This window comes from Homo sapiens, chromosome 6 (genome assembly GCF_000001405.40).
Source record: "Homo sapiens chromosome 6, GRCh38.p14 Primary Assembly".
NCBI classification, from domain to species: Eukaryota; Metazoa; Chordata; class Mammalia; order Primates; family Hominidae; genus Homo; species Homo sapiens.
This window is the reverse complement of record NC_000006.12, coordinates 135,182,144-135,208,070: the sequence shown is the minus strand read 5'-3', so window position 1 is coordinate 135,208,070 and position 25,927 is coordinate 135,182,144. Positions and strand designations below refer to the sequence as shown.

At 39.1% G+C, this 25,927-nt stretch overlaps 1 protein-coding gene and 1 long non-coding RNA gene across 20 annotated transcripts in view, besides 6 other annotated features; one reads left to right on the top strand and one right to left on the bottom strand.

The window, feature by feature from the left end:
- LOC105378011 (uncharacterized) overlaps window positions 1-12,176 on the top strand; it is a 40,301-nt gene extending 28,125 nt beyond the window's left edge. For both annotated transcript variants that reach the window (XR_001744368.2, XR_001744367.2), the window contains exon 3: window positions 12,071-12,176. This is a non-coding gene — a long non-coding RNA (uncharacterized LOC105378011). The remainder of the gene's footprint in view (window positions 1-12,070) is intronic.
- MYB (MYB proto-oncogene, transcription factor) overlaps window positions 1-25,927 on the bottom strand; it is a 37,865-nt gene that overhangs the window by 11,102 nt on the left and 836 nt on the right. The window contains exons 2-16 of one of the 18 annotated variants that reach the window (NR_134965.2): window positions 22,051-22,168; window positions 20,166-20,237; window positions 18,188-18,280; window positions 17,724-17,944; window positions 15,513-15,747; window positions 14,153-14,233; window positions 13,611-13,715; window positions 12,990-13,111; window positions 12,069-12,323; window positions 9,021-9,163; window positions 8,490-8,545; window positions 7,872-7,986; window positions 7,656-7,781; window positions 6,322-6,432; window positions 4,747-4,854 (exon numbers count right to left, since the gene is read on the bottom strand). Coding sequence is in view for 9 of the 18 variants with exons in the window: in NM_001130173.2 (NP_001123645.1) it covers window positions 4,747-4,854; window positions 6,322-6,432; window positions 7,656-7,781; window positions 7,872-7,986; window positions 9,021-9,163; window positions 10,748-11,110; window positions 12,069-12,323; window positions 13,611-13,715; window positions 14,153-14,233; window positions 15,513-15,747; window positions 17,724-17,944; window positions 18,188-18,280; window positions 20,166-20,237; window positions 22,051-22,168 (2,146 nt within the window). In the remaining 9 variants the exon portion in view is untranslated. Of the gene's footprint in view, window positions 1-4,746; window positions 4,855-6,321; window positions 6,433-7,513; window positions 7,782-7,871; window positions 7,987-8,489; window positions 8,546-9,020; window positions 9,164-10,747; window positions 11,111-11,162; window positions 11,346-12,068; window positions 12,324-12,989; window positions 13,112-13,610; window positions 13,716-14,152; window positions 14,234-15,512; window positions 15,748-17,723; window positions 17,945-18,187; window positions 18,281-20,165; window positions 20,238-22,050; window positions 22,169-24,777; window positions 24,877-25,927 lie in introns of those variants that run through there. The other 17 variants (XM_047418834.1, NR_134958.2, NR_134961.2 and 14 more) reach the window with 17 other exon arrangements.
- Window positions 15,986-16,280: a silencer, noted in NCBI's record as "tiled region #12483; K562 Repressive DNase matched - State 5:Enh". NCBI's record gives its function as "represses a minimal TATA promoter and a strong SV40 promoter by Sharpr-MPRA in K562 cells {active_cell/tissue: K562}" and the evidence as "EXISTENCE:reporter gene assay evidence [ECO:0000049][PMID:27701403]".
- Window positions 23,726-23,905: an enhancer, noted in NCBI's record as "active region_25102". NCBI's record gives its function as "activates an Ori minimal core promoter by ATAC-STARR-seq in GM12878 lymphoblastoid cells {active_cell/tissue: GM12878}" and the evidence as "EXISTENCE:reporter gene assay evidence [ECO:0000049][PMID:35858748]".
- Window positions 24,216-24,435: an enhancer, noted in NCBI's record as "active region_25101". NCBI's record gives its function as "activates an Ori minimal core promoter by ATAC-STARR-seq in GM12878 lymphoblastoid cells {active_cell/tissue: GM12878}" and the evidence as "EXISTENCE:reporter gene assay evidence [ECO:0000049][PMID:35858748]".
- Window positions 24,826-25,055: a silencer, noted in NCBI's record as "silent region_17568". NCBI's record gives its function as "represses an Ori minimal core promoter by ATAC-STARR-seq in GM12878 lymphoblastoid cells {active_cell/tissue: GM12878}" and the evidence as "EXISTENCE:reporter gene assay evidence [ECO:0000049][PMID:35858748]".
- Window positions 25,226-25,275: a silencer, noted in NCBI's record as "silent region_17567". NCBI's record gives its function as "represses an Ori minimal core promoter by ATAC-STARR-seq in GM12878 lymphoblastoid cells {active_cell/tissue: GM12878}" and the evidence as "EXISTENCE:reporter gene assay evidence [ECO:0000049][PMID:35858748]".
- Window positions 25,516-25,595: a silencer, noted in NCBI's record as "silent region_17566". NCBI's record gives its function as "represses an Ori minimal core promoter by ATAC-STARR-seq in GM12878 lymphoblastoid cells {active_cell/tissue: GM12878}" and the evidence as "EXISTENCE:reporter gene assay evidence [ECO:0000049][PMID:35858748]".

The following is a 25,927-nucleotide window of genomic DNA, read 5'->3' as shown; positions in this document are numbered from 1 at the left end:
ATTAAAAAATAAAAATAAAAACTTCATAAAAAAGAGATGAGGTAGCCCAGGCGTGGTGGCTCACATCTATAATCCCAGCACTTTGGGAGGCCGAGGCAGGTGGATCACTTGAGGTCAGCAGTTCGAGACCAGCCTAGCCAACATGGAGAAACCCTATCTCTACTAAAAATACAAAAATTAGCCAGGCAGATATCTGTAGTCCCAGCTACTCAGGGGACTGAGGCAGGAGAATTGCTTGAACCTGGGAGGCAGAGGTTACAGTGAGCTGAGATTGCGTCACTGCACCCCAGCCTGGGCAACAGAATGAGATTTCATCTCAAAAAAAAAAAAAAAGAGATGAGGTAAATATGGCAAAATGATAACAATTGTTGACTCTAGAACATAGTATATTTTCCATACATCTATGTGTGTACAAAATTTATAATAAAATGTCAAACACATAGCTTCTCGGCATTTCTAATTTTAAAACAGCAAACATAATTTATATATATTGCATGTGCATTTATATGTACGTTAGAAGCAAAACCATAATGGCCCAGTATATGGGCCTCAAAAATAGTAATAATTGCTTGTCTAAAATGTTGTTGCCATAATCAAGCCGGGGTGATTAAAACTGAAATGATAAAACACAGAATTGCGCAGTTCCTATGTTCTTCAATAAACTGTTCTTGAACCTAAGTTATTTAGACAGTTTAGAGGGATAGACAATCAACTGCATTACACCAGTTGCAAACATTTTACATTTTAGAAGTATTCAAATTTTAAAATATTTTGAAACTCCTATTTTGCTGTTTTAATAAAAACATTATGACAAAAATGTCTAGATGGTTTGGCTAAAATCCCACTTAATATTTGATTTATTATAAGTACAAATTACAAAAATTATAGATTATATAAAGTACTCTTAAGTAAAATACATATCATTTAATAAATGTGCAATATGTTCAATAATACCATGTGTGAGAAATATGCCTAATTAGGTCAAATTGGATTATCAATAGAAATATATGAAATAGCACTGTGTTTCAAACAAACAAAATTACCAAATTGCATAAAAAATCTATAGAAATATTATTGAATCAGGATTATATGAAATATAGGTGATGTATGTTTAAATATTTAGAGTCACTTGATGCATTTTCCAATACTTATCACAATAGTCTGAAACATTTTAGAAATCACATATTTCTGTGATATCAGAAGCTAGAACTCCATGACATAAAATGAAGGAGATACTTGGTGTATAACATTCATTCATTTAGTGAATATTTCTTTTTTCCTCCCAATTGGCAAGTATGTAGAACAACATTCACTAAGTATTTCTTAAAATAAATTAGTATCTATTATAGCAGATTAAATTTTTGTTTGTTTGTTTGAGATAGAGTCTCACTCTATTGCCTAGGCTGGAGTTCAATGGCACGATCTGGGCTCACTGCAACTTTCACCTCCTGGGTTCAAGCAATTCTCCTGCCGCAGCCTCCCAAGTAGCTGGGATTACATGTGCGCACCACCACGCCTGGCTATTTTTTGTATTTTTAGTAAAGACAGAGTTTCACCATGTTGGCCAGGTTGGTCTCAAACTCCTGACCTTGTGATCCACCCGCCTCTGCCTCCCAAAGTGCTGGGATTACAGGTGTGAGCCACCACGGCTGGCCTTAAAAAATTTTTTTTAGAGACAAGGTCTTGGTCTTGTCTCCCAGGCTAGAGTGCAGGGGTATAATCATAGCTCACTGTAACCTTGAACTCCTGGGCTTAAGGGATCCTCCTGCCCTAGCCTCCCAAGTAGCTAGGATTACAGGTATGTACCACTACACCCAGCTAATTATTATTATTATTATTATTATTTTTTTTTTTTTTTTTTTTTTGAGATGGAGTCTCGCTCAGTCACCCAGGCCGGAGTGTAGTGGCGCTATCTCAGCTCACTGCAAGCTCCGCCTCCTGGGTTCATGCCATTCTCCTGCCTCAGCCTCCCAAGTAGCTGGGACTACAGGTGCCCGCCACTACGCCCGGCTAATTTTTTTGTATTTTTAGTAGAGACGGGGTTTCACCGTGTTAGCCAGGATGGTCTCGATCTCCTGACCTCGTGATCCGCCCACCTCGGCCTCCAAAAGTGCTGGGATTACAGGCGTGAGCCACCACGCCCAGCCCAGCTAATTATTTTTTAATAGAGACTGAGTCTCACTATGTTGCCCAGGCTGGTCTCAAATTCCTGGTCTCAAGCTATCCTCCAGTCTTGGCTTCCCAAAGTATTGTGATTACAGGCATGAGCCACTGAGCCTGGCTTTATAGCAGATTATTAAAATATATCTGGTCAGTGTAAACCAGTAAACTATATGGTTTAGACAGGAGTATTGACTCTAAAATTAACTTTCAAGTCTCAATTATTCAGTTTGATAGAATTGACAAATATTACCTTCACCATACACAACTTAATCTCAGTGTACAGATGTTAGAATTCATAAAGTGCCAATATGACTCACTGATAGACAGGAGAATACAGATTAATAAAATAGAGCTATAACTTAATTTTGAGTTTCAAAGATAACCAATATTTCCATTAAATAAAATACAAATATACTGATAAAGCTCAATACTGAACTATGGGTTTCAACTTATGTAATGGTAATTGTCCCCAAGTATATTGATGTGTTGGCTTTTTGAAATTTAGAACAGACTTTTTCTGTACTACTACAAATACAAGTTGGCCCCAGACTAGGTTAGAAAATATATGCAAAACTTAATCTAACTTAATTAAAACACGAATAGCAGTAGTTGAATTCTGTTCTCTAGAAACCAAGAGCCAAGTAACTTAGGTGGGAATAATTAAAAAAAAAAAAAAAAGCAAAAGCTTTTCTTCTGGACCTAAGAACAGCTTTCAGGAAAATTTTGAAATGGCTGCCCTTTGCCTTGAAATCTTTGTAACTCCCTTTCTGGGTTCCTCTTATGTCTGGGTGGAGTTCATTCTCTTCCTCATCTCCCAATTATTTGTGATATTCTTTTTTTTGAGATGGAGTCTCATTCTGTCACCCAGGCTGGAGTGCAGTGTCATGATCTCGGCTCACTGCAGCCTCTGCCTCCTGGGTTCAAGCGATCCTCCTGTCTCAGCCTCCCGAGTAGCTGGGATTAGTAGAGATGGGGTTTCACCGTGTTGGCCAGGCTGGTCTCAAACTCCTGACCTCAAGTTATCCACCCGCCTTGGCCTCCCAAAGTGCTGGGATTACAGGCATGAGCCACTGCGTCTGGCCTCTTTGTGGTATTCTGAGTCTTCTCCACACGGGGCCAACTCCAGCCTCACTGACGCAGGAACTTGTCCAGATTCCCCATAAATACTGACTCCCTGTCTCACATTCCAGTCCACAGCCATTTTACCAAAACAATTGCTGTCAGAGAGAGGCCAGGAAGGAAGCAATCTGATTTAATTAAACAAAATGTGCTTGCAATCCTTATTTTACAATAATACTACGCACTGGCTAGGTGCGGTAGCTCACACCTGTAATCCCAGCACTGTAGGAGGCCGAGGTGGGCAGATCACTTGAAACCAGGAATTCGAGACCTGCCTGGCCAACATGGCAAAACCTTGTCTCTATCCAAAAATACAAAAAAACGGCTGGGTTGCCGGTGGCTCACACCTGTAATTCCAGCTAATTGGGAGGCTGAGGCATAAGAATCACTTGAATCTGGGAGGCGGAGGTTGCAGTGAGCCGAGATCACCCCACTACACTCCAGCCTGGGCCACCGGGTAAGACCCTGTTTCAAAAAACAAAGCAACATCAACAAAAAACCCTGAAAAACTAAGCATCACAAATACTTACCGGGCAAGTTTTCAGATTCTCACAATTTGGAAGGAGAAACTATCACAAGAATGGGAAATCCCTTTAAGGTAATGGGCAGACTCAAAGGCTGCTGTCCTATGATCGTGCCATTTAACTTACAGCAAGAAATATGACCTTCAGCTTCTGAATCCAGGCTCTTCACTTCCTCTAGGGTTATGAAGTTTCCCTCTGCATGGCACAGGGGGATGGAGGAGAGGGCTCTGCAGGTGGCTGGGTATTGGGCTATTTAATGTCAGAAACTGCTTTAAATAATTTAGGGAAGCAAAATTTGCATTCTTATTTACATTTGGCTCAGGATTAATTTGGAATTGGTTATATTTCATCAACACACACCCACTTTAGGGTTACAAGGGAAATCTCTTTTGATATTAAAACCTGACAGCAGATGGTCAACTTCAGATCGGCCTCACAACATTGACAGTTGACTTTCTTATTCTGACAGTCAAATACATTGCAATTATTTTCTGTCTGACTAATTTCAGACTTCATTTAAAATTGGAACAGTCTCTGAGCTTTGGTTGCCTAGGGATACAGCATAAAAAATAAAAAATTTGGAACATAAAGTAAACTATATTGATATATTTTTATAAAACATTTGAGGGCAGAAGAAGATAGTGACACACGTGTAATACATCTTAGTCTCAGTCACAGTAAGAAATGTTTCATTTCATCATGCTTTGGGGAATCTGCACTGATAAAAATTTCTAGCATGTCTCATATGAGTAGCAAAAAGGAATTATTGGATTTTTCTAGACATCAAGAATTGTATAAAAGCATTACTCCCCTATGTCTAAAATGTTGAAAACGAAAAACAGACCACCAGCACTACCATCACCACCACCACCACCACCACCAAAGATGACAGTTTTTCAGTGAATGAATTTTAAAATACCAATGTTGGAATAGTAATTACCTGCAAGGGGCTCGCCAGGGACCTGTTTTTAGGTACTGTAAATGCTTTGAGAACATTGTCTTCATCTTCTGATGCTGGTGCCATTAAAACGGAGCTTGTAAGAATATTCTAAAGGGAAGAGAATAATTTGAAATTTAAATGAGGTTGGATAATATGAGAGCCACATTTTTCTAACACTGTGGAGAGTAGATTACTATGAGATGATACACATTAGCATAAAAAAATGCAGTCATCTGCCAGAAATTCTCCCCACTATGAGCTAAAAGGAGAAATCAACTATGTCTGAACCTTAATCCCATTGTGGCAAACATCACCACAACACAAAGCTCCTTTGGGATCCCAGAGTTCTAGGCATGTGTTAGGCACTCAAAAAACATCTGCTAAATGAATTAATAAATACATGCCTTTCAAAATAGAAGATTTACTAAGTTCTGGGGAGAGAACACTTTATTTCATATATTGGTACAGAACTATCAATATTTTAGAGCTATAAATTATTGGCAAAAAATGGTGAAAAGTAGGGAATTTAGAACAAGACCTTCTGAGTTCCAACCCAGCACCATCCCTTATTAGGTATACAATCTTGAGCAAATGACTAAGCCTCTTTGTGCCTCTGTTTTCCAGTTGACATAATAGAAATGATAATAATACCCACCTGGCCGGGCGCGGTGGCTCACGCCTGTAATCCTAGCACTTTGGGAGGCCGAGGCGGGTAGATCACCTGAGGTCAGGAGTTCAAGACCAGCCTGACCAACATGGAGAAACCCCGTCTCTACTAAAAATTCAAAATTAGCTGGGCGTGGTGGCGGGTGCCTGTAATCCCAGCTTCTCGGGAGACTGAGGCAGGAGAATCGCTTGAACCCGGGAGGCAGAGGTTGCAGTGAGCCGAAATCGTGCCATTGCACTCCAGTCTGGGCAACAAGAGCGAAACTCCGTCTCAAAAAAAATAAAAATTAATAAAAATAATACCAACCTTACAGGATAATTGTGAGAATTAACTGAATCAATTCATCGAAAGCCCCTAGAGCAGTACTTACCACTTAGTACCTACTAAATAAATCTTAGCAGCTGTTATTAGCTCTGATTTTCCTTAAGACATAAGGACAACCCTTCACAAATTATAAACTTTAAAAATGGTGGTAGTAACCCAAAGCAATTGGGTACAATACTGGGCATCTACTATAGACAACGTGGTTGATACCATATGAGATGCTACACAAACCAAACAAGAGACAACTTAACAAGAAGACAATATTATTTAGAAGACAAATAAAGGAAAATATATAAATGAACATAGTTTTTATATCCATGTAGATTTTTTTAAATGGCCAAGGCACTCAAATAATGAGAAAACAAATAATGAAAAAGTCTGCAATGTTTCTAATACATGAAAAAATCTCAACTTTATACTCTACATTAATAATCATTTTTTAAAAATCATGTGCAGGAGAACATTTAGAAATAAGATGTGTTAAAGAGGGAGTGCTGAAACCGCAGCAGCCCTATGCCACACACAGGATTTCATGAGGCACCAGTGTCACATAACAACTTGGGGGCTGGTGCACACGTACTTACCGGTGCATCTGCCACAGGCGAGGTCTGCGTGAACAGTTGGGTATTCAGACTGTCCCCTTCCCAGTGGTGTGAGCAGAAGAAGTTTCCTGATTTATCAGTTGGAGATTCCACCTAAAAGCATATAGAAAGTGCTTTGTTGTTTCTAGAACTTCCTATGAAACATGTACAGTCAGGAGTATATTTCTGGCCAGTCCCTCAAATACTTTTATAAAACTATGTTGCTAACTTACACTATCAGCTCAATTTGCTCTATCTTCTGGATTCAACAAAGAAACACTGATGGCAAATTTGAAATGTGACTAGCTCCAAATTTACTGCCCCTGTAAAGCTCCTACGTTTTCAACCAATGTTCTGATTCTAGGTGTTTATTCTATTAAGAATATATTTTAATGATACACCTAGTAGTGTTGTATCCGTCAAGGATTTTATTTTGGTGACATAAAAGATCTTTTGGTGACAAAAGACTGGTTTTTAATCACATTCTGGTAAAATTCTCCATTACTAAATAATCAAATCAGATTTTTAGCTATAAAAAAAAATACTTATCTTTACATGAAAATAAATTCAAGAAGCACTGTATCTAACCTGGTGGAAAACAGCTGTTGCCAACAAGCTAAAACTTTGATCCTTGCAGGTTAGATTCTCTTTTTTAATTTTAATTTTTATTTTTTTTGAGACGGAGTCTTGCTGTCTCCCAGGCTGGAGTGCAGTGGTACGATCTTGGCTCACTGCAAGATCTGCCTCCCGGGTTCACACCATAATCCTGCTTCAGACTCCTGAGTAGCTGGGACTACAGGCGCCCGCCACCAAACCCAGCTAATTTTTTTGTATTTTTAGTGGATACGGGGTTTCACCATGTTAGCCAGGATGATCTCGAACTCCTGACCTTGTGATCTGCCCACCTCAGCCTCCCAAAGTGCTGGGATTACAGGTATGAGCCACCGCGCCCAGCCTCCCTTTTTTTAATACAATTAATTAAAGATACTATTATTTTAATTTAAATTCCAATTCTTCACATCTAAAAATGAAATATCAACTTTATATAATCAGTAATGTTTAAAAGTACATTAAAAACCTCTTTCCCTCCCTTTTCTTGATACTCTCTAGTATGTTTTCTGTCCAAACATGAAGTAGATAGAGATGGCTTGGCTTCCCAAAGGAAAGGTTGATGATGCCTACAGTCTGGCAGTACCTTTTCGCTGCACCTTGTATGAAAATCTTGCACGAAAAGTCGTGGTGTTGCACAGTGCCAATGGCAGACACATCAAGCTGCACACAAGGAATAAAGGGGGCAGGATTCTCAGCTTGTTGCTTCCAAAGGGTTGCGTGTTTACCTCTTGTTTGATTTTCTTCAGTAAGGGTGGTCCATTTTCTTGAAACTCAGCAACAATTCCAGATTCATCAGATTCCTGTTTGATCACATCCTGCAGATCTTCTACTAGATGAGAGGGTGTCTGAGGCTAAACGGAAGAGTGGGTATTTTTGCATCAGAGAGAACTCCTAATGGGACTAATAAACCAATGAAATCCAAAAACTTTTCTAGAACTTACTAGCATCTTCAGGGGACCGTATTTAATTTCTTGAGCTGCAAGTGCATGTTTGAATGGTGTAGGAGTTCTTGGAGAGCTTTCTAAGATTGACCTTTTGATAGCTGGGGTTCTAAAACTTTAAAAAGAAAACAAGCAGTGGCTCAATACAAAAGAATAAATGTCCCTACATGGCTTTACCTGTTACATTTAACATTTTTCCACTGAATACAATAAACTCTGTTCCGGATATGGAATTGGGGTGTGCTGATTAATCACGTTATTCGTTAAGAAAAAGAGAATATGCATATCACATATTTTCAAATATTTCAAAATATTATACCTCGAAGACTAAAAGCATTAAATGATTTAACATCTTTCCTTAATGGCTCTGAAGACACATGTAGTGCCTATGATCTGTATAAGACTATGAGCATCAAGAAGACCTGATGTCATTTACAAATCAGGTTTCCCTATTCATGAAAACAGAGCCCATACTACAAAACATGTTAAACTTTTAAAATTTACTTTTTGTACTTCGAAATAACAGTGCATTTCTTTTCAAGGTTTCTGATAATTCACACTTTCTCTACCATTTCTCTGAATTGATTAAGGCTTTATTGAATAAAAATGACTGCTTACTCATCCCTTGGCTTCTAATCATATAATATTCCTGGGGATGTCAGAAGAGGTCCTATCTACACATAAATTCAAAAAGAAAAAATAAGATTAAAAAATACAAACTAAAAATAAATAAATAATAAACAAATAAAATTAAATAAAAATACAAACTAGGTAAGAAACCATACTCGTTCTTATTCTGAAGCTTACAATTAGAGAGGAAAGGAGGTTGAAAATCTGGCTTTCATAAGAAGGCCTTATGGAGGGAACAAACAAACCGAATGGAAAAGTTTTATGAAAACTACTTGTGCATATATAGGAAATTTTGGAGTAAGTTACAAAAGGAATCTAGTTTATCTTCCCATCTTCTACCTGTAGGTAGTTGTAATATGCCCAGGACAGATATATTCAATGTGGGAATAGACATGATTATATATAAATGGTCAGTAAAATTATGCACATACAAGTGGATCAGACATCTGGGAACTATATTCCATTAATTAAATATAAGTAAATAAGATAAATCATTTTATTCCTGAACCAAAGACTTACACAGTATTTTCCTTTTGAGTTTTCACAGTCTGGTCTCTATGAAATGGTGTTGTAACAGTCAATTTGTGACCAATGAGGGGGGTGGAAGTTAAAGAAGGCATTTCCAAGTCTGAGTTTTCATGGTTACTGGAAGTGTTTAAGAACTAAATATGGAGAGAAAGAAAAAATACTTAGATTAGATGGTAATTCTTTATTCTCCCCAATTTAAAAATCACACCTAGATAACAAGAATGTTTTCCTGACCCACTATATTAAATAATAAAGATGCTAACAAGCATGTTATATTGACTAGGGTATTGTTTTATTTCAATTGAGCACCCAGGATTTGGGTGTGGTTTCCAAGAAATAAAATTTAGGGTCATTGCTGAAAAACTTGCAAAACTGTGAGAAAATACTCTCAATAAATGACACTTGTCATTAAAGAGAATGAGATGTGTTCTTTATTAACATTTAAAAGGCTTTAGTGATTTTGGGGAAAATAATAGTTAATAATTAATAGTTTCCTTTCATACTTTGTTTTTTCTCTTTAATAATCTATGAACCAAAATTAGTATTACAGAAGGTTTACATTATATGGAAAATTCTTGAATAATAAACTGTGTCTCTCAGAACACTAAAGTTCTGGGAAAAAACTAGGTGTTCCTTAAACAATTCCAAGGTAAAATAAATTTGGGAAACACAACATATCATAATCTCCTCCTGGAAATTCACAAGGCACAACGGCATATTAATAACTCTGAGAAGGCCTGCAGTTAAAAAAAAGAAAGTTTTTAAAGAAATGGGATCTCGCTATGTTCACCAGGCTGAACTTGAACTCCTGTGCTTAAGCAATCCTCTTGCCTTAGCTTCCCCAGTAGCTAGGACTACAGGCCCATGCCACTATGCCCAGCTAAGAAACCTACTTGTAACTTTGTTTGATTCAGTGTTTCCCAAATGTATATACCTATATCATACCTAAATCTGTTCTTAAAACAAATTCAACAGATACAATTGGAAAAATGTTTTAAAGTGCCAAATTATCTATTAATTTAATTATTTAAATAATTTAGGAACACAAATCTCTGATAAGAATTGTGATTTTCATGCCTTAAAAAAGCTGTATGAAATAAAAATATTCCTTGGCAAAAACTGCACTAGTAAAATAGTATGGCACAACTCAAAAGAGCCAATGTTGAGAAACTGAAATTAAAAATATGTTCTTTTCCTTAAGCATTTGTTTCTCATCCTCTTCCCAAACTCTTCCATTTAAAGATGAATTGGAACCTTTAAATTTTCTAGCTTTAAATTTTCTAGTTGCAACCCAAATGTTATATAAACACAATTTGGTTCCCTCCTCCCCTGGGTCAGTGAATCGCATAAGAATAAATGAACAACGAGGAAGAAATGATGTTAACAATTTTAAAGGGAGGGATCAGATGGGAGAAAAAGAAAGGGACAGAAATGTTAAACTCTAGTGTTGAAGGAAATAAAAGTACGTTTCATGCAACTATCTTTCAAAACCACCCAAAAGTAAAAGAGAGAGAATGATGCCAAAATCAACAGTTAGCCTGCAGACAGCCTAAACTTTGGGAGGCAGTATAACTTAGCAACAGCTAGATTCAACGACAGAATGAAATCAGCAAAGGCAGCAGTAATTAGTCATTTGTTCCGAAGTATTAGTTTCTAGATTATTAAGGCTCAGGTGTCTGTTGAAAATGAGTAACAGCTGTGCAGAAATTGTGTTCTACCTGCGAGGGAGAGAAGGGTAGGCTTTTGACAGGGGAACGCTTGGGAGTTGAACTGCTGACGTCAGCAAATATGAAGGAGCTACAGTCTCCAGTGGCTAAGGGGCTGGCCTGGCCCCGTTTTTTTCGAAGGATGACCAGTGGAATTGTGCTGTGCCTTGCAGGAGGTAAGACCTTGGGTGGGTCAAGTGAACTCTCACTCAACATACGTTTGTTCACCCTTGGGCTAGGTTCTCCTGCAGGTTTAGTCCCATTGCCCTCTCTTTGCTGAAGCTGTAGGGCTTTGCCTGTGTGATGTTGGCTAGGTGAAAAATCTGCTTCTTCAAAGAATTCAAAACTGCTGAGATCACACCATGATGAAGAATCCTGAAACAATGTGGGAGGCACAGAACTTTGAGATAGTGTGTGCCATCATCACCTGAAACAGCACTGAGAGAGAGATGCTCAACGCAAAGCAAACACTAGGCCCGTTGGTTTGGCTTCTTGAGCAACAGCTTCAAGATGAGCAGTTGCTCTATTATACTGCAGTAGAGCAGGGTCTAGTGGGCTGCCTCAAGGCTGGCCCTCTGATGTGCTGCAGGGACCTCCCGACACTCTACATCTGCATGCAATGGAAAGCAAAATGAAGACCTTTTCTAGATGGCATATTACGGCAATGGTCATCTCCTAACCAATGAGTGTGCAATAAATGATTTTTAATCAACTGGGAAAGGAACCAAGTGTTCGCTGAGGAGGTGCTGAATACAAATTTGTTTCACGAAAGATGATTCATCTCAGTGAAGCAATGGGACCAGTAATCAATAATCACCATTTTGTGGAAAGAGCCAGGTATGACCAAGGAGCTGATTATTACTTCAAATACACTAAAAGATTGCTTTCAGCTCTGAGTAAGCCAAATCATTAATGTGCTGTTCAAAAGCAAGACAAAATTCTAGAGAAGCACCATGAAGTAAGCAAAGAAAAAAAAAAGTTAAAAGTAACTCAAACACCATTCCGTTCCCATAATCCAAGCTCTGCTTTATAAGTCATCAATCTGACTATTTTTAAAAATATGACTTTTGAAGGAAAAGTGTGAAAATGTGAAAAAAAACTCTTCCTTCAAAAGTCCTATTTTGTAAGTATTTATAAATACTTTTGTCTCTCTCGGTAGGCTATGAAATCAGATCTTTGAAAAAACATATTCATGAAGATGAAAATCATACTTCTACCTTTACATTAATATATGCTAATAACAGCTTGGCTATAGAAAATGGCAATGATTTAAGAAATGGGTTTTCTAATTTATCTTCCAGAATCGTTAACTTCCCTTCACAATTCTACTTACAGAATCTATAAATTGGAGTGTTTCTGCAAATTCTAAGAGGTTCTTAACATTATCCAGAATGGTGCCCTGGTGGACGATCATGCACCTTGCTGGCGAGGCGCTTTCTTCAGGTAGGGAGCCAGGATCCGCTGGCAGAGATGGAGTGGAGTGGTGTTCTCCCAAACAGGAAACAGGTGCACTGTCTCCATGAGGTCTGGTGTGGTCGGCAATGGTGGTGCTGTGCCACCCGGGGTAGCTGCATGTGTGGTTCTGTGTCTAAGGAAGGGGGAAGGGTGTAGAAATAAAGAGAGGACAGAAGAAAGGGAGAAGGAACTTAGCAATGAAGTTGCACAAGGTATCAGATGCTGTTGGAGGAAAGATAAGAGTAGTTGCATCATCCCAAACTTACGCCTATGAAACAGTTGTCAAGATGTTTCCTTTTATCAATGCAAGACCCTGTTTTTAATAGTGCTAGAGGTTGTACCTATATGATTACCTTGTTATCATTTTGTAAAAATGTCAAATCATAGGTCTATATTTCGAAGTATAATTATCATATTGTCTTAAAATTCCACTTTAATATAATTTGCCAAAGGTCCATAAATGCTTGCTGTGAGTGAAGAACTGAAGAACTGTCCTATTTGCATTCTAACCACAAAAAAGCTAGAGGACTCAGGAGTTAGAGTTGCTTTGATCTACACATATTCTTGTTGCTTCTATCCCTTTCTAATGCTACAGATTGCACTGATGCAGTGAAGCACTGCCAAATCAACGTGGTTAGGAAAGCAGAAGAGCAAATTAACAGAAGTCTCCTTACAGTATGACCACACAACAGGAGAAATTGCAAAACATTAACTAAAGTTAAAAAGTGGTCGAACTAGCATGTGCACATAAACATCTTATTATTTAACAAAAAATAAATTTACCCCTAGGAATACCTACTGGGCATCACTTCTCTTTTATTGTCTTTGTTGGTTAACTATGTATGTTGCAAAGCACAAGGAGCCATCCCAGTTGGCTGCCCAGTCGCTAAAGATGTCAGAATTCAGTAATGGCCCACATAACTTTCACACATGCAAATAAAAGAGAGCAGCTAATGTTATTTATGAAGAGGTTTTATATATAACCTTTTACATGTATATACTGAACATGCATCAAATCATGTCTGAAATTATAAAATATGAAAATATAGGTTAACAAAATAATAGAAAAAAACCAAAATGGTACCATATAGATACATAGCTCTGTAGAAAATGCAGATTTTCATTCATTTTATCTTTGCTAGTCTTTAAACTGATTATAGTCCTTCTGAAGAAAAAAATTGATGATAACAATCATAAGTGGATATTGCATTTTTATTGCAATTACAAAAAGACTGCTTCCAATTTAATCAGCATATAATCTGATACCAACTACATTTTACTACAAGCAACTTCTTGTGTTGAGACATTCTGAATGGATATATGGAGCCTTGCTAAGTGTAATATTTAGAAGAGAAGAGCGCTTAGGTAAACTGAGGCAAAGCTGCTATCCCCTCATTCAAGCACATGATGACAGTCTTACTGGTAGCACCTGCTGTCCTTTTAGCTCATTCTCGGTTGACATTAGGAGCAATTCTAATTCCTTTATTCGCTTTTCCTTCTCAGGGTCTTCATCATTATAGTGTCTCTGAAATTACAAAGTAAGGGAAATAAAGACAAAGGTCTGATTGGAAGCTGCAAATACAATGGGTGTAGCCAATATGGTCATGAGGTGCCGCACAGCCCAAAGAGCCTCACTGTGACAACACCACCAACCAAATTTGGCTCCTGCAGAAATCTTTGTGAATGTTATTTCAGACTTAAGGGAGTGATGTGAAATCTCAGGCTAGAGTGGATGCTGACTGATGAGTTATTTCACCTTGCAACATCAAAGAATCAGAAAATTCCAGAGCAAACTCATTCTAGAAGACAAGATTAATAGATTGCTGGCCAAGACTCTGCTCTCCTCTCCATGTTCCCTTTCCTTTTTACTTTAGTTGCTCAGGTAAAAATATGTGTTTAGATGAAAGAAATAAGCATTTCTTAAAAGTGGTGCTTTGAACAGTGAATGATCAATGATCTTACCTGAATGGCTGCGGCAGCTGGCTGAGGGACATTGACTATATTTACATGTAACGCTACAGGGTATGGAACATGACTGGAGACCTAGATGCAAAAGACAAAACAAAGGCCACGTCATTCAGGGCTACATATGCTTCAGGGGACTTGGCTTCCTGAGGTTTCGTTCTGGGACTGAGAGAAAAAAAACACTTTACTGATAAAATACACTAAACAAATTTTTAAAACCTTTTAATGTGAAATTTAGCCAGGCCTTTAAAATGGCTAAACAGCTAAAGGAACATGGTGAAAAATCCTTGGGAGGTGTTGATGAGCACTTTAAATTTTGGGAAGTGTTCCTTAATTAGAGAAAAACACAATGAAAAAAACAATAAAAAATATATTATAAAATACATTAATGAATGTTTCAAAATTGTTTCTATGGGAAAAATTGATGGCACCAGCTGTTTGTAAATAAAAATATTTTTCTTGGAATAATTTTGAGTTTTAATAAAAAGCACAGGAATTCTTATGATAATTTATTCATCTGAGACCTTTCTGTAAAGTTTGTAGTCAAATCCATGGACAGAGAAGAATAAAAACTATTTATGAACATGTTTTGCATATAATTTGCATATGAGCTCTCTATTCTTGGGTAAGTTTTATCATTTAATATTGTTATTCTTAAGATTAAAGTTTCTCGATTTTTTTCCTCTTTCTTCTTCTTTTTCCACCTATTATGGATTATCACTTTCCCTAAATATAAATATCTAGAAATAAGGAAGGGATCACACTGATCCAACGGAGACTAAAAGGAGACATCAGAAAATGAATGTCACAAAGTTCTGCTCCTGACTCAGAGTAAGAAGGTAAACACTTACTGAGTGAATAAATTAAGACATGTCTGCCTGATCACTGCCAGAATGAAACATACCATAACCACTGAATTTCAGTGTCAAACTCTCTCCTCTTTAAACATAATACTACCTTCCCTTTTCGTTTTGGAAGAGAAAAACATTACATCTACAAATGCGACTCCATTCCCCTATTCTTCAATAGTACCTTAAGTAAATTTACATTCAAAGGTTGCCTTCAAATTAGATTTGAAGCAGCAATTTAGAATCGGACAGCTCGTTTTCTAGTCAGCACTATCTCTATGAGCTGTGTCACCCTGGGCAAAGCGCTTACCATCCTCGTTTCTGGAGACATAAACCAGGGGTAACACACCATACCTACACCCTATCTACTTCAAAGGGCATAGGTGAAGACTGGCCATGATCATGCTCAGGAAAGTTCTCTGAAAAGTATACAACTGCAAAGTATGATTATTACCTGGAGCTAAACTAACCGTCTCTCTCATTAAACTAGATTCACAGGAATGGCTTACATTTTGTGCTTCAGAAATGTGGTAATAGGAATAGTCGTTGTTAACAGTGGGCTGGCCAGTGGCAGGGAGTTGAGCTGTAGGCGGAGCCTGAGCAAAACCCATCAAATGACTGTTCTTCTGGAAGCTTGTGGCCACTGCTGGCTGGCTGGCTTTTGAAGACTCCTGCAGATAACCTTCCTGTTCGACCTTCCGACGCATTGTAGAATTCCAGTGGTTCTTGATAGCATTATCAGTTCTGCACAGAAATATATCACACAAATTTCACAAACAAAAATTTCAATTCAGATTAAAGTGAATTGACAGAAAACTGTTTCTAACAGAGACCTTTCCCTTGGGCCTATTAGTTGTTTTCTCTTTTTAATTGTTTCCTTCTTCTCCACCCTCTGAGATCAGGCTTTCTCTATTGCCTAGTTAGATTTCTCTTAGTTACACAATCTGGAATGCATGTCGTTTTCTAGAAATATCAGTATCTTTTAACCATTCCATTTCCTTGGTAAAGGAGTATTTTCAATACGATAACGCTTCATGTTTATTCTGACCGGTCGCGGTACAAGACTCCAACACAATGTAAAGTTCCAGCTGCCTTGGGGAAATTACTCCTTTGAATGTGGCACAGCAGGGCCTACACACCACGAGAGGGACATGGTGAAGTCTGGTGGATGATAAGATGCTGCTGATGAAGAATACTTCACTCTTTATCTCTCAAAGCACTAGTGAGAACTTCTGAGACCAAAAAACCTCCTACTCTTTGAAAGCCACCCCAATTGTTTTCTGAATCAGACAGAGACGAGAGTGGAAAATGGGATCCCAAAGGGAAAGATCCTAACCCCCAGTATATTTTCAAAAGGCAACGCATTTTTACTAAAGTCTTTCCATTCTCAGGAAAACAGTTTCTCAATTCAAAAAAACCGTTTAAGTCTCCCTTTTTCTATTTCAATGGGGGTGGGGGAATGTATGCTAAAGAAAGAGGAAGTTCAATAGCCCTGTTAATTTTGAGAAGAATCAGCAGTGTATCCTCTCAGGCCATATGGGAGGAAAGGCCTTTTTTTACCAACCTCTTAAAATTTCTAAGTTTATACTGAACCACAAGGGTGCAAATGCTTTGGAGCATCACTAGAGAATACTATATAAACTTTCTCCTGGATTATGAAGCTCAAGAATAAAACTATTTTTAATATTTTTGATCTACATCATTTTAATGCAAGATTTATCATTAAAAGTATTGCTTTCCAAAGGAACAAAATCTGTTATATACTACTTAAGTGGGAAAAATGGGACAAAATGAGCTTCCATAGTTATCCCTCATAATGAGGTCATTTTCTTGCCTTGTTCATTAAAAAGAAAGCATTATTACCCTGACATTATTTAAAAACCTGGAAGTAGTATGAGAATTCAAGAAATACATTATTTCTTTAATCAATGAAGTAAAAAATTAAGCAAAGTGGTATAATGAAATGAATACTGGTGGCCAGGTATGGTGGCCCATGCCTATAATCCCAGCACTTTGGGAGGTGAAAGGATTGTTTGAGGCCAGGAGTTTGATACCAGCCTGGGTAACATAGCAGGATTCCATCTCTACAAAAAATATTTTAAAATCAGCTGGGTGTAGTGGGGTGCACCTGTAGTCCTAGCTACTCAAGAAGCTGAGGTGGGAGGATCCCTTGAGCCCAGGAGTTCAAGGATGTATTGAGCTATGATCATGCCACTGCACTCTGTCACTCATGTGTGACAGAACAAGCCTCTGTCTCTAAAAAATAATAATTAAAAAAAATAAAAGAAATGAATGATGGTTATCAGGAAAATGGTAGCTGAGTTCCTTTGAGTAACTTAACCAGCTACGTGAACTGCCAGAGACAAACTGTCTTCAGTTTCTTTCTATGCATTTAGAGTTTTATAGTTTACCAAGTCCTTTGACATTCATTTTACTTGATCCTAACACTGGCCCTGTATGATTCATTTTGGAAATGGGGAAATTGAGGCTGGGGAAAGCTAAATGTCTTCACCCAGGGCTCACTGTCAGGTGGATCCTGGAAGTTCTCAACCAAATAAACTCTAAGATGTCTTCAATCTCTAAAAGCTATGTAGCTGGTTTATCTAATAAAACACTTACGACTGATGAAATATAATTTACTCACCATACATTTAAAGCAGAATGTTCAATACCCACTCCCTCATTCTTCCCGATCAATATATTTTTTGACATATTATTACCGTCCAGGCAGTAGCTTTGCGATTTCTGCCCATCTGTTCCCCAGTCTCTTGTGTGCCTGGTAAATAATTCTGTCTTCCTCTTCTGTCCAGGAGGTTTTCTTAACTTCTGGATTCAAGTGGTTATGCCACCTCTCCCTACATTGTTTTCCAATTCTCCCCTTTAAGTGCTTGGCAATAACAGACCAACGTTTCGGACCGTATTTCTGTACAAGCTCTATCACCTTCAGATAAACACACAAAAATAACCTATGTTTTAAAGTTATGTAATGAGTCAGTATAATCATTCTTCAGTGTTACAAGATCTTTAGAAAATTTCCAAAATTTGCTTTCATTCACTGGAAATATGGGAATAGAGTCCTCTACTTCCTGTTTGCCCATTTTACCTGCTTCCTCAAATAGGAAAATATTAGCATTTTGGGAATATTCTTAATTATGAGTCACACACCAATGAAGAAAGAACTTACTCTCTGATCTTCTTCTTTGGTCCAAGGACCCTTGATGAGCTCAGGGTTTAGTACTTTCTGCCATCGGTGCTGGCACTGCACATCTGTTCGATTCTAGACAAATAAAGTATGCACCACCATAAAGATATGATGTGATAAGCACGTGAATTTTTTGTTGTAATAGGAATCACACATAGACCATATGCAGTGAAAATATTTAAGAACATTTTAGAGCATGTTTAGAGCCCATCTATCCCTCATTACTTACAGGCTACAGAACATGCAAGTAATATATCAAAGTTGCATCTAAAATTAGACACTCTGCCTCCTGAGGGAAACATTCCTGCCACATGATCTAAAGGACCATCATACTACACATGTGCCTGCCAAGTTAACCTTAACCTCAGATACTTTTGCAGAGTATCTACATAGCCTGAGGCTTGATAGAGATTCTATGTTGTCAGGCTTTCATGGAAACCACCCTAAAAGACTAAAGTTTGCTTCCCATTCAGACAAGAGATGTGCTTCAATCCAGGACCAAAGTATTTATATTGCAGAAAGAAAAAAGATGCATAAAAGATAGGTCCTATGTTACAGGAGTTTGTAAACTTATAAGAAGGAAAAGACAAGTAGATGACTGACTATCACAGATGCTGAATTTGATTCACTTGGAAGAAAAGACCAAAGCAAAATGATACTGAAGTGAGGAGAGAAGCATCTTCTTAGGAGGAGAAATGGTTTCCTTGGGAGGAGTCTTGAAGAGCTCTTCATAAGGACTTTGAAGGATGGACAGAACTTTAATTGGTGACATAAAGGGAGAATATTCTAGGAGGTGGGAAGACCAGGAGCAAAAGCCCAGAGGAGGTAAAGCAGAAATAAATTCAAGCAAACCTGCTTAGAGAGAGGAAGCAGGAAACAGAACTGGAGCTGTAAGTTGGGGCAATAGAGGAGGGCCTCTGTGTGCCAAGTCAAGGCAGTTTACTTAATTTGTGAGATTCTGTCACTGTGGTTGGTTTTGAAAAGATAAGGTACAGCTGCATTTTAGGAAGTTCCACCTGCCAATGGTGTTTGGGATGAATGGAAAAGTAGAAGACTGGCTGGGCACGGTGGCTCATGCCTGCAATCCTAGCACTTCGGGAGGCTGAGGTGGGCAGATCACTTGAGGTCAGGAGTTTGGGACCAGCCTGATCAATATGGTGAAACCTTGTCTCTACTAAAAATACAAAAATTAGCCAGGCATGGTGGCGGGCACCTGTGATCCCATCTACTAAGGGGGCTGAGGCACGAGAATCGCTTGAACCTGGGAGGCGGAGGTTGCAGTGAGCTGAGATCGTGCCACTGCACTCCAGCCTGGGCAACAAAGCTAGATTCCATCTCAAAAAACAAAAAACAAAAAACAAAAAAAAAAAAAAGAAAGAAAAATGGAAAACTACAAGTGGGGAAGCCAGTTAGGAAGTTATATGATAGTCCAAATGAGAGGGCAGGAGCCCAACCTTCAGCACAGCCATGAGAATGAAAAGGACGGGACTGACTATAAAGGAATTCCAGGGTCCTTAGTAACTGCTTAGATGTAGGGGTTGGGGGAATGTGATAAGTCAAGAAAGGTCTTCAGAATTTTAAACCTTGGTGCCAAAAGTATTGCTATTGACAAAAATAGGGAATTCAGGAAAAACTGACTTGGAGGAAATATCAAGTTTAATCAACTACCATGTAACAAATCATCAAAATACTAATTATCCTATAAATGAAAAGATAAAACAAGAAGCAACTGTTTTTAAAATTTGATAATCTAAATTATAATAATCGATTCTAATAATCTAAATTCTAATAATTTAATTATATGCATTATAATATAAAATATAAGTTATGGGTAGGGCATTTCTCCCACTTCTTAAATGTGAGTAAATTATACACTATCTTAATAACTCCTCCTAGAATATTTTATAGAAATCTTTGGGAGAAGCTTTCCTTTCGTTATAAGAAAAACTTACTAACTTACCGGGAGATAATTGGCAATAACTTTCCAGTCATCTGTTCCATTCTGTTCCACCAGCTTCTTCAGTTTTTCATCCTAAGACATTTAAAGGTAATCCTAGGATATCAGTTATTTACTATATAACTCTGTTCAAGTTAAAGTGAATGAGGGAACGAATCTAGAATAAAAAGTCTCTCTAAAGTATCCGAATACAGGAGATATTAATGTAATATACGGACTTGGGAGTATAGATTTATTTAGAATCAGACCAGAGTTGGCATCTTGACTCAACTATTAATTGTGTAAAGCGGGTATACCATTTTACCTTTCTGGGCCTTAGTATTGCCATCTATAAAATGGAAATTAACAGGGTTATTTGGGGATTACATGGGGCAATTTATTAACATGAGGCTGATATTAACAGGGTTATTTGGGGATTACATGAGGCAATTTTGCAAAACATTTATCATAATGCCTGGCATATATTGAGTGTTTATTATAAATAACTGCTTTACTCTGTTAGGAAAAAATGCATTCCAGTGCTAGATTCAGTACACATTTACCTATGGTAATAAATAGGATCTTGAGCAAGAAATAGAATATTTCCAGTTAGTTTAACTTTTTATAAAGAAATAAAGACCATTTTTAAAATTAAATTTGAAAGCTATATAAGAAAATCAGTTAGATTTAGATAGGCCAGATGTGTTAGAACATAAAAGACATTAAACATTTCCAGCTAATCAGTTCTTTTAGTTTATATGCTGTTCACAATCCTACCAGTTCATAAGTATATAAATGCATTCCTTCTTATGTTTCTGCAAAGGTAACATTCACACACAGTGGAGGTCCCTGGTACAATACAGACACAAGAATTAGGAAACCAATGTTGACAACAGAATTTCCGTATCATAAGGATTATCCAAGTGGATAATCTTAATAGGTAAAATATGAATTTCCTATGGGCCTCTCTGGGAATCCTACCTGCCTGTTAAAAGGAGCTCTGGTTTAAATGAAGCAGAGAACAGTGAAACTGAAGAAGAGCCAATACCATTTATTGTAACATGAATCATCTAAAATTAGTTGCAAAAATTTTAAGAACATTAGAGAAACTTTTCTCCACATATTAATAATTTTGCTTCTAAAATATTTTTCCATTCCTACAAAATCAAACTTTTGATAAGCCAGCCGAAAAAGAAACAGGAGAAGCAGATGTGTCTCCATCCATTATCGGATGATTTTAAAACATACCTTCATATAGATGGCTCTGTTAAGTATATCAAGGATATTAAATCAATACACTGTAAAAAGATGAGTTCTCTGAGTGTTTTGTTTTATTCTTTTGTTTGTTTTGTTTTTGGGAGTAGCAAGTCATTCACTTATTGAGAGAACATTTATTAATATCCTATTTTGGGTCCAAGCATTTGTGAATTCAGGAAACACAAAGATGAATAGACAAGAGCCCTGCCCTCAACAGACTTGCAGTCAGCTGGAGGAGGTATATATGTCCCAGCAACAATAAAGTAGAACATGCACCCATGCATGGGATCACAGGAGGATGCATCCAATCCTGTCCGGCGAAGCCAGGGATGGCTTCACAGAAGAGGTGATGCCTTCATGGGTAATGTAAAAGTAGGAAGAAGAGGTGGGACAAAAGGATGAGAACTCAACAGGCAAAAGGAAACACAGATGAAGCCTAAAATGAGAAGAGGACATTCAAAGAACTGCAAATAGTGTGGAAATGGATAATATAATGAAGTGGGGGGCATAGGGCACGCTGCACATGCGGGCTAGGATAAGATCTCAAGGAGCCTGCTAATGAGCTTGAGCACCTGTAGTTTAGTTGAAATTTTGTTTTTTATAAATTATACACTCTATCTATTTTCTGCGTCTTGATAAAATGATTAGTTACCTCTTCCCGGGTCCACCTTGTTTTCCCCAAGTGACGCTTTCCAGACTTGGGAAGCAGCCCATCATAGTCATGGTCACACATCTCAAAGTCCTCATCATCCTCGTCACTGCTATATATGCTGCAGAAATAAGAATGGGTAGACGTGGGCTGAAACAAGAGGATTTAGACTACTACTGGATTACAAAACTTACACAAAACTCCTCAACAATCTTTTCAAAGGTTATGAAGACAAAACTTTGAAAACTTGCACAACAAGATTGTTTGCTGCATTCTGTTGCTCTAGTATTGTAAACTGGTTCTGCTGTTATGGGTATCCACAGACACGGCCAAGGACCTGGCACCTTCCTATTCCCCTGCATGTCTGAACCTGCTGTTACTATTAGACCAGGGACAAGTTACACATTTGGCCACCTTCCAACCAGTGAAGGTTTAAGTTGAAAACTTAAGGTTAAGGATAAGAAAAGGAACAAGAACCCATGTCCTTTATATAAGTGCACACTCAAAATCTTTGGCATCTGTCACATCGTTTAAATAATATTTCTCAAACATAATAAACAATTCAACTATGCTATTCCAATGGGGTTTTTGTTTTATTAAAAGAAGAAAAAAATCAAGAAGTAGTACAGCGCAAAACAGAATTATAGTGATCCCATAAAGTCTAGAGGATTAGGAGAATCTAAGAGGAAAGGATTTTAAAACCAAAGCAAAGATAAGAACATTGAGTGATCAAGCTTTAATGTTTTGTAAATAAAATTAATACCAAATTGCTCACAACTCCAGGCCTGGTTGATCCAACTTGTGCCCATGTTTACAATACTTAGTTTCTAGAGTAACTAAGTGAATAATTAGGCCACTTGTTAGTCAGAGTCTTACTTACTCTTGTTTTTTCTGTCTCTGATGGAATGGTGTTTGAAATATTATAAAATGTAACCTAATCCAGAAGGGATTTCCCCAGAAAAAAGCCATGGATTTAAAAGAACCCATTACTATTTTCGAAAGCTTTTTCTTTTATTTAGTTAACCTAACCTAGGAAATTTTATGACTTTTGAAGAAGTAACTATATGCTTACTGTTTGTTAATCATAATCATAATGTTTGTTAATCTAATCAACTGATCAGATGACAATAATTTTACAGACACGGTTTATTTTATAGTTTTTCTTATAAAACTTAAAATAGGAAAAATACTATCTTAGAAACTTCACTAAAATTTGTCATTGCAATGTTGGGAAACCCATTAAACTAAGACCAATAAAAACAATGATATAAAGCCATATCATAATGTAAATCATTGTTTTTAAAAAGAAAAGTTATATTCATTACAGGTTTTGTCTTCCCAAACTAACTCACTGGTATGCATATTACCAGCCCCCTACAAGTGAAGCTGAAGTGCTTACCAAAAATCCTGAATTGGGGGTTCTCATAATTTAAAGCTATTATTTTAAGCAACAATCTGATAGTCCAGGTTGAATGGCGACATGATGTAATCCAAATTTAAAATACCACCACCACCAAATAAAATCCCAGGAAATATATATTTATAATCTGTAATAATTCCTTTCATTTAGTGTCTGTGTTTTGAAACAATAGCCTAGTTCTGTTTCCACTGTCAACAGGAGGCACTAAACAACTTCTGAACAAGAACTACAAAAATGTAAAACACGATATGATAAAGCAAAAAAAAAAAAAAAAAAAAAAAGCTATAAAGCCCAGAGGTGTAAGTCTGCATCTTTTGAAAGATTCATAGGGAACTCCTTGGAAAGACCCCAAATGCAGTCCCTTGTGAAATGTGAGAGACACCAAGAAAACCAGAGGAATCTGAAACTGCAGTCATAGATTCAAGTCGAATTAACTTTTCAGGTTTGGCTGGATCTAGAGGTCACATTTTCAGAACTGAGCACATTTTTCAGAGTAGTCATTGAGCACCTCTCTCTCCGCAGCGGTTTAACAACCCAGGAACAAGCAACCTATTCAGCCGCCCGCAGGGGGCAGCCAACGTCAGGTGAGAGCACGGGAATCAACAGGACTAGGGTTCTGGAGGCAAAGGTTCTAGTCTAGCCTCCACCTAGCTGTATGACTTGGACAAATCACTTCCTCTCTCTCAAGACTTCAGTTCCTCGCCTTTACAATAAGGGCTTGCTTGGATCCTATTTCTAAGGTACTTTCCAGCGCTAATACATGACCATGCCATGTCCTTCCGTGCCTCTTAAAAGCTAAGCACAGAGGCAAAGATGTGCAAAACTAAGGTCTTGGGGGCAAGGTGGAGAGTGACTTCTGCAGGACCTGAAGGGGCCAGGACGCAGCAGGGCGAGTCCGGGGCTGCTCACGCGCCCAGCTCCTGAGTTTCCCTGCCAGGCTGGCCACCCAGGCTCGCCTTTGAACTTTGCATGCGATTTGCTTGCTCTAAGTCGTCCTAGAAGCATGATTAATTTCTACTAAGGAACCTGAAATAACTTTTCCTTTATCTGCTCTGACAAGATCTCAGACCCAACAGTCAGAGGATTTTCAAAGGCTGATTTCAGGGTTGATGCACTCGACTCCCCACCTGCTAGACCCGGTGTGGTTACAAGAGTACAACTATGAATGTTACATTCTGTCAAGGAAACAAACCGTGCAAAGAAACGAAAAAGAAAAGAGGTGCTGGGGGTTAGGAAGAGGGAGGGGAGCGGGAGGAAGTGCCTTGTGGCCGCTACTGTGATTCGGAGGGGTTCAAACTCATTTCGCTGACCTGGTTAATATAATCCCTGCCGAGTTGACGCTCGCCCTTGCAAGAAACGGCTCCGAGCCCGCAGTCGGGTTTCTCTTCCCCTGAGGCAGGTTCAAGGCTCCCGCCCCTCCCAGCCGCCTCCCCTCTGGGCTACCTGGAGCCTCAGGGAACCTGCGCGGCCCCGCCCCGCGGGGGCGGCCGAGACCTCGGGGCGCGGAGCCGCTGCCGCGCCTCCTCCCAGCACCCCTGCCCGACTCCCTCCTCCTGCTGCCAGTTTCAGCTCTCGAAAAAAAAAAAAAAAAAAAAAACAGATGACCCCGGTAGCTGTCCTGTGAAGTCCTAAAGGCGAAAAGTGGAGCCCTCGAGGGGCAGCACACCGTCCTGCGCGGCCAGGCTCCGGAGTAGGCATAGGGAGCCCGGAGCTCCCCCAAGTCGCCCTCTCGTCCCCAGAGCCCAACCAAGCCCCGGCGCTGCTCCCCGCCCAGCCCAGCCCGCGGGTGCTGCTGCAGGGTCTCCACCCACGCTCTTTGCAACTTCCCAGCGCCGCGCGGGGACCAGCGCCCGCAGGCTCAACAACAAACCAGTAGGAGAAAATCAAACAATCTAAGGAAAGGCGAATGGATTTGCTTTGCCTCCATGGACTTCGCCTTAGAACTCCTTCGCGAGGGTCTGTCCGGTCACCGCGCCTCGGCCGGGGCGACCTAAGGCGGCTGAAGGAGGGTGCGAGAAGGCGCGGCGACCTCAGCCGCATCCACGTGTGCGCGCCGCGCAGGGACCTTTCGCCTGGGGGCAGAGCCCGCGGGGATCGCGTCCCGGTTGCGCGGCAGCGGCCTTGGGTGCTGCCGGCCTCTGTCCCCTTGAGCCGAGTGGCGACTGCGACGGCTGCCGAGCTAGCCCTGGCACCCGCCGCTCGCAGGGAGCCCCGGCGTGTGCTGCTGGGAAAGTCCAGAGGCCGGTGGAGACTGGGGAACGAGCAACTGACAGTTCGGACGAGGATTTCCCTCCTCCTCCTCCTCTCCCTCTTCCCATCTGTCCGGCCAAAAATGTGAAGGGACTGCACCCATCTTCCCGGCGAGCCTCCCTAAGTGCAGTGACATGTGCGACGGCGGCGCGTGTGGGTGCGCGTGCAATGTTTGCAGTGGAAGTAAAAGCCTTTCAGAGAAAAATGATT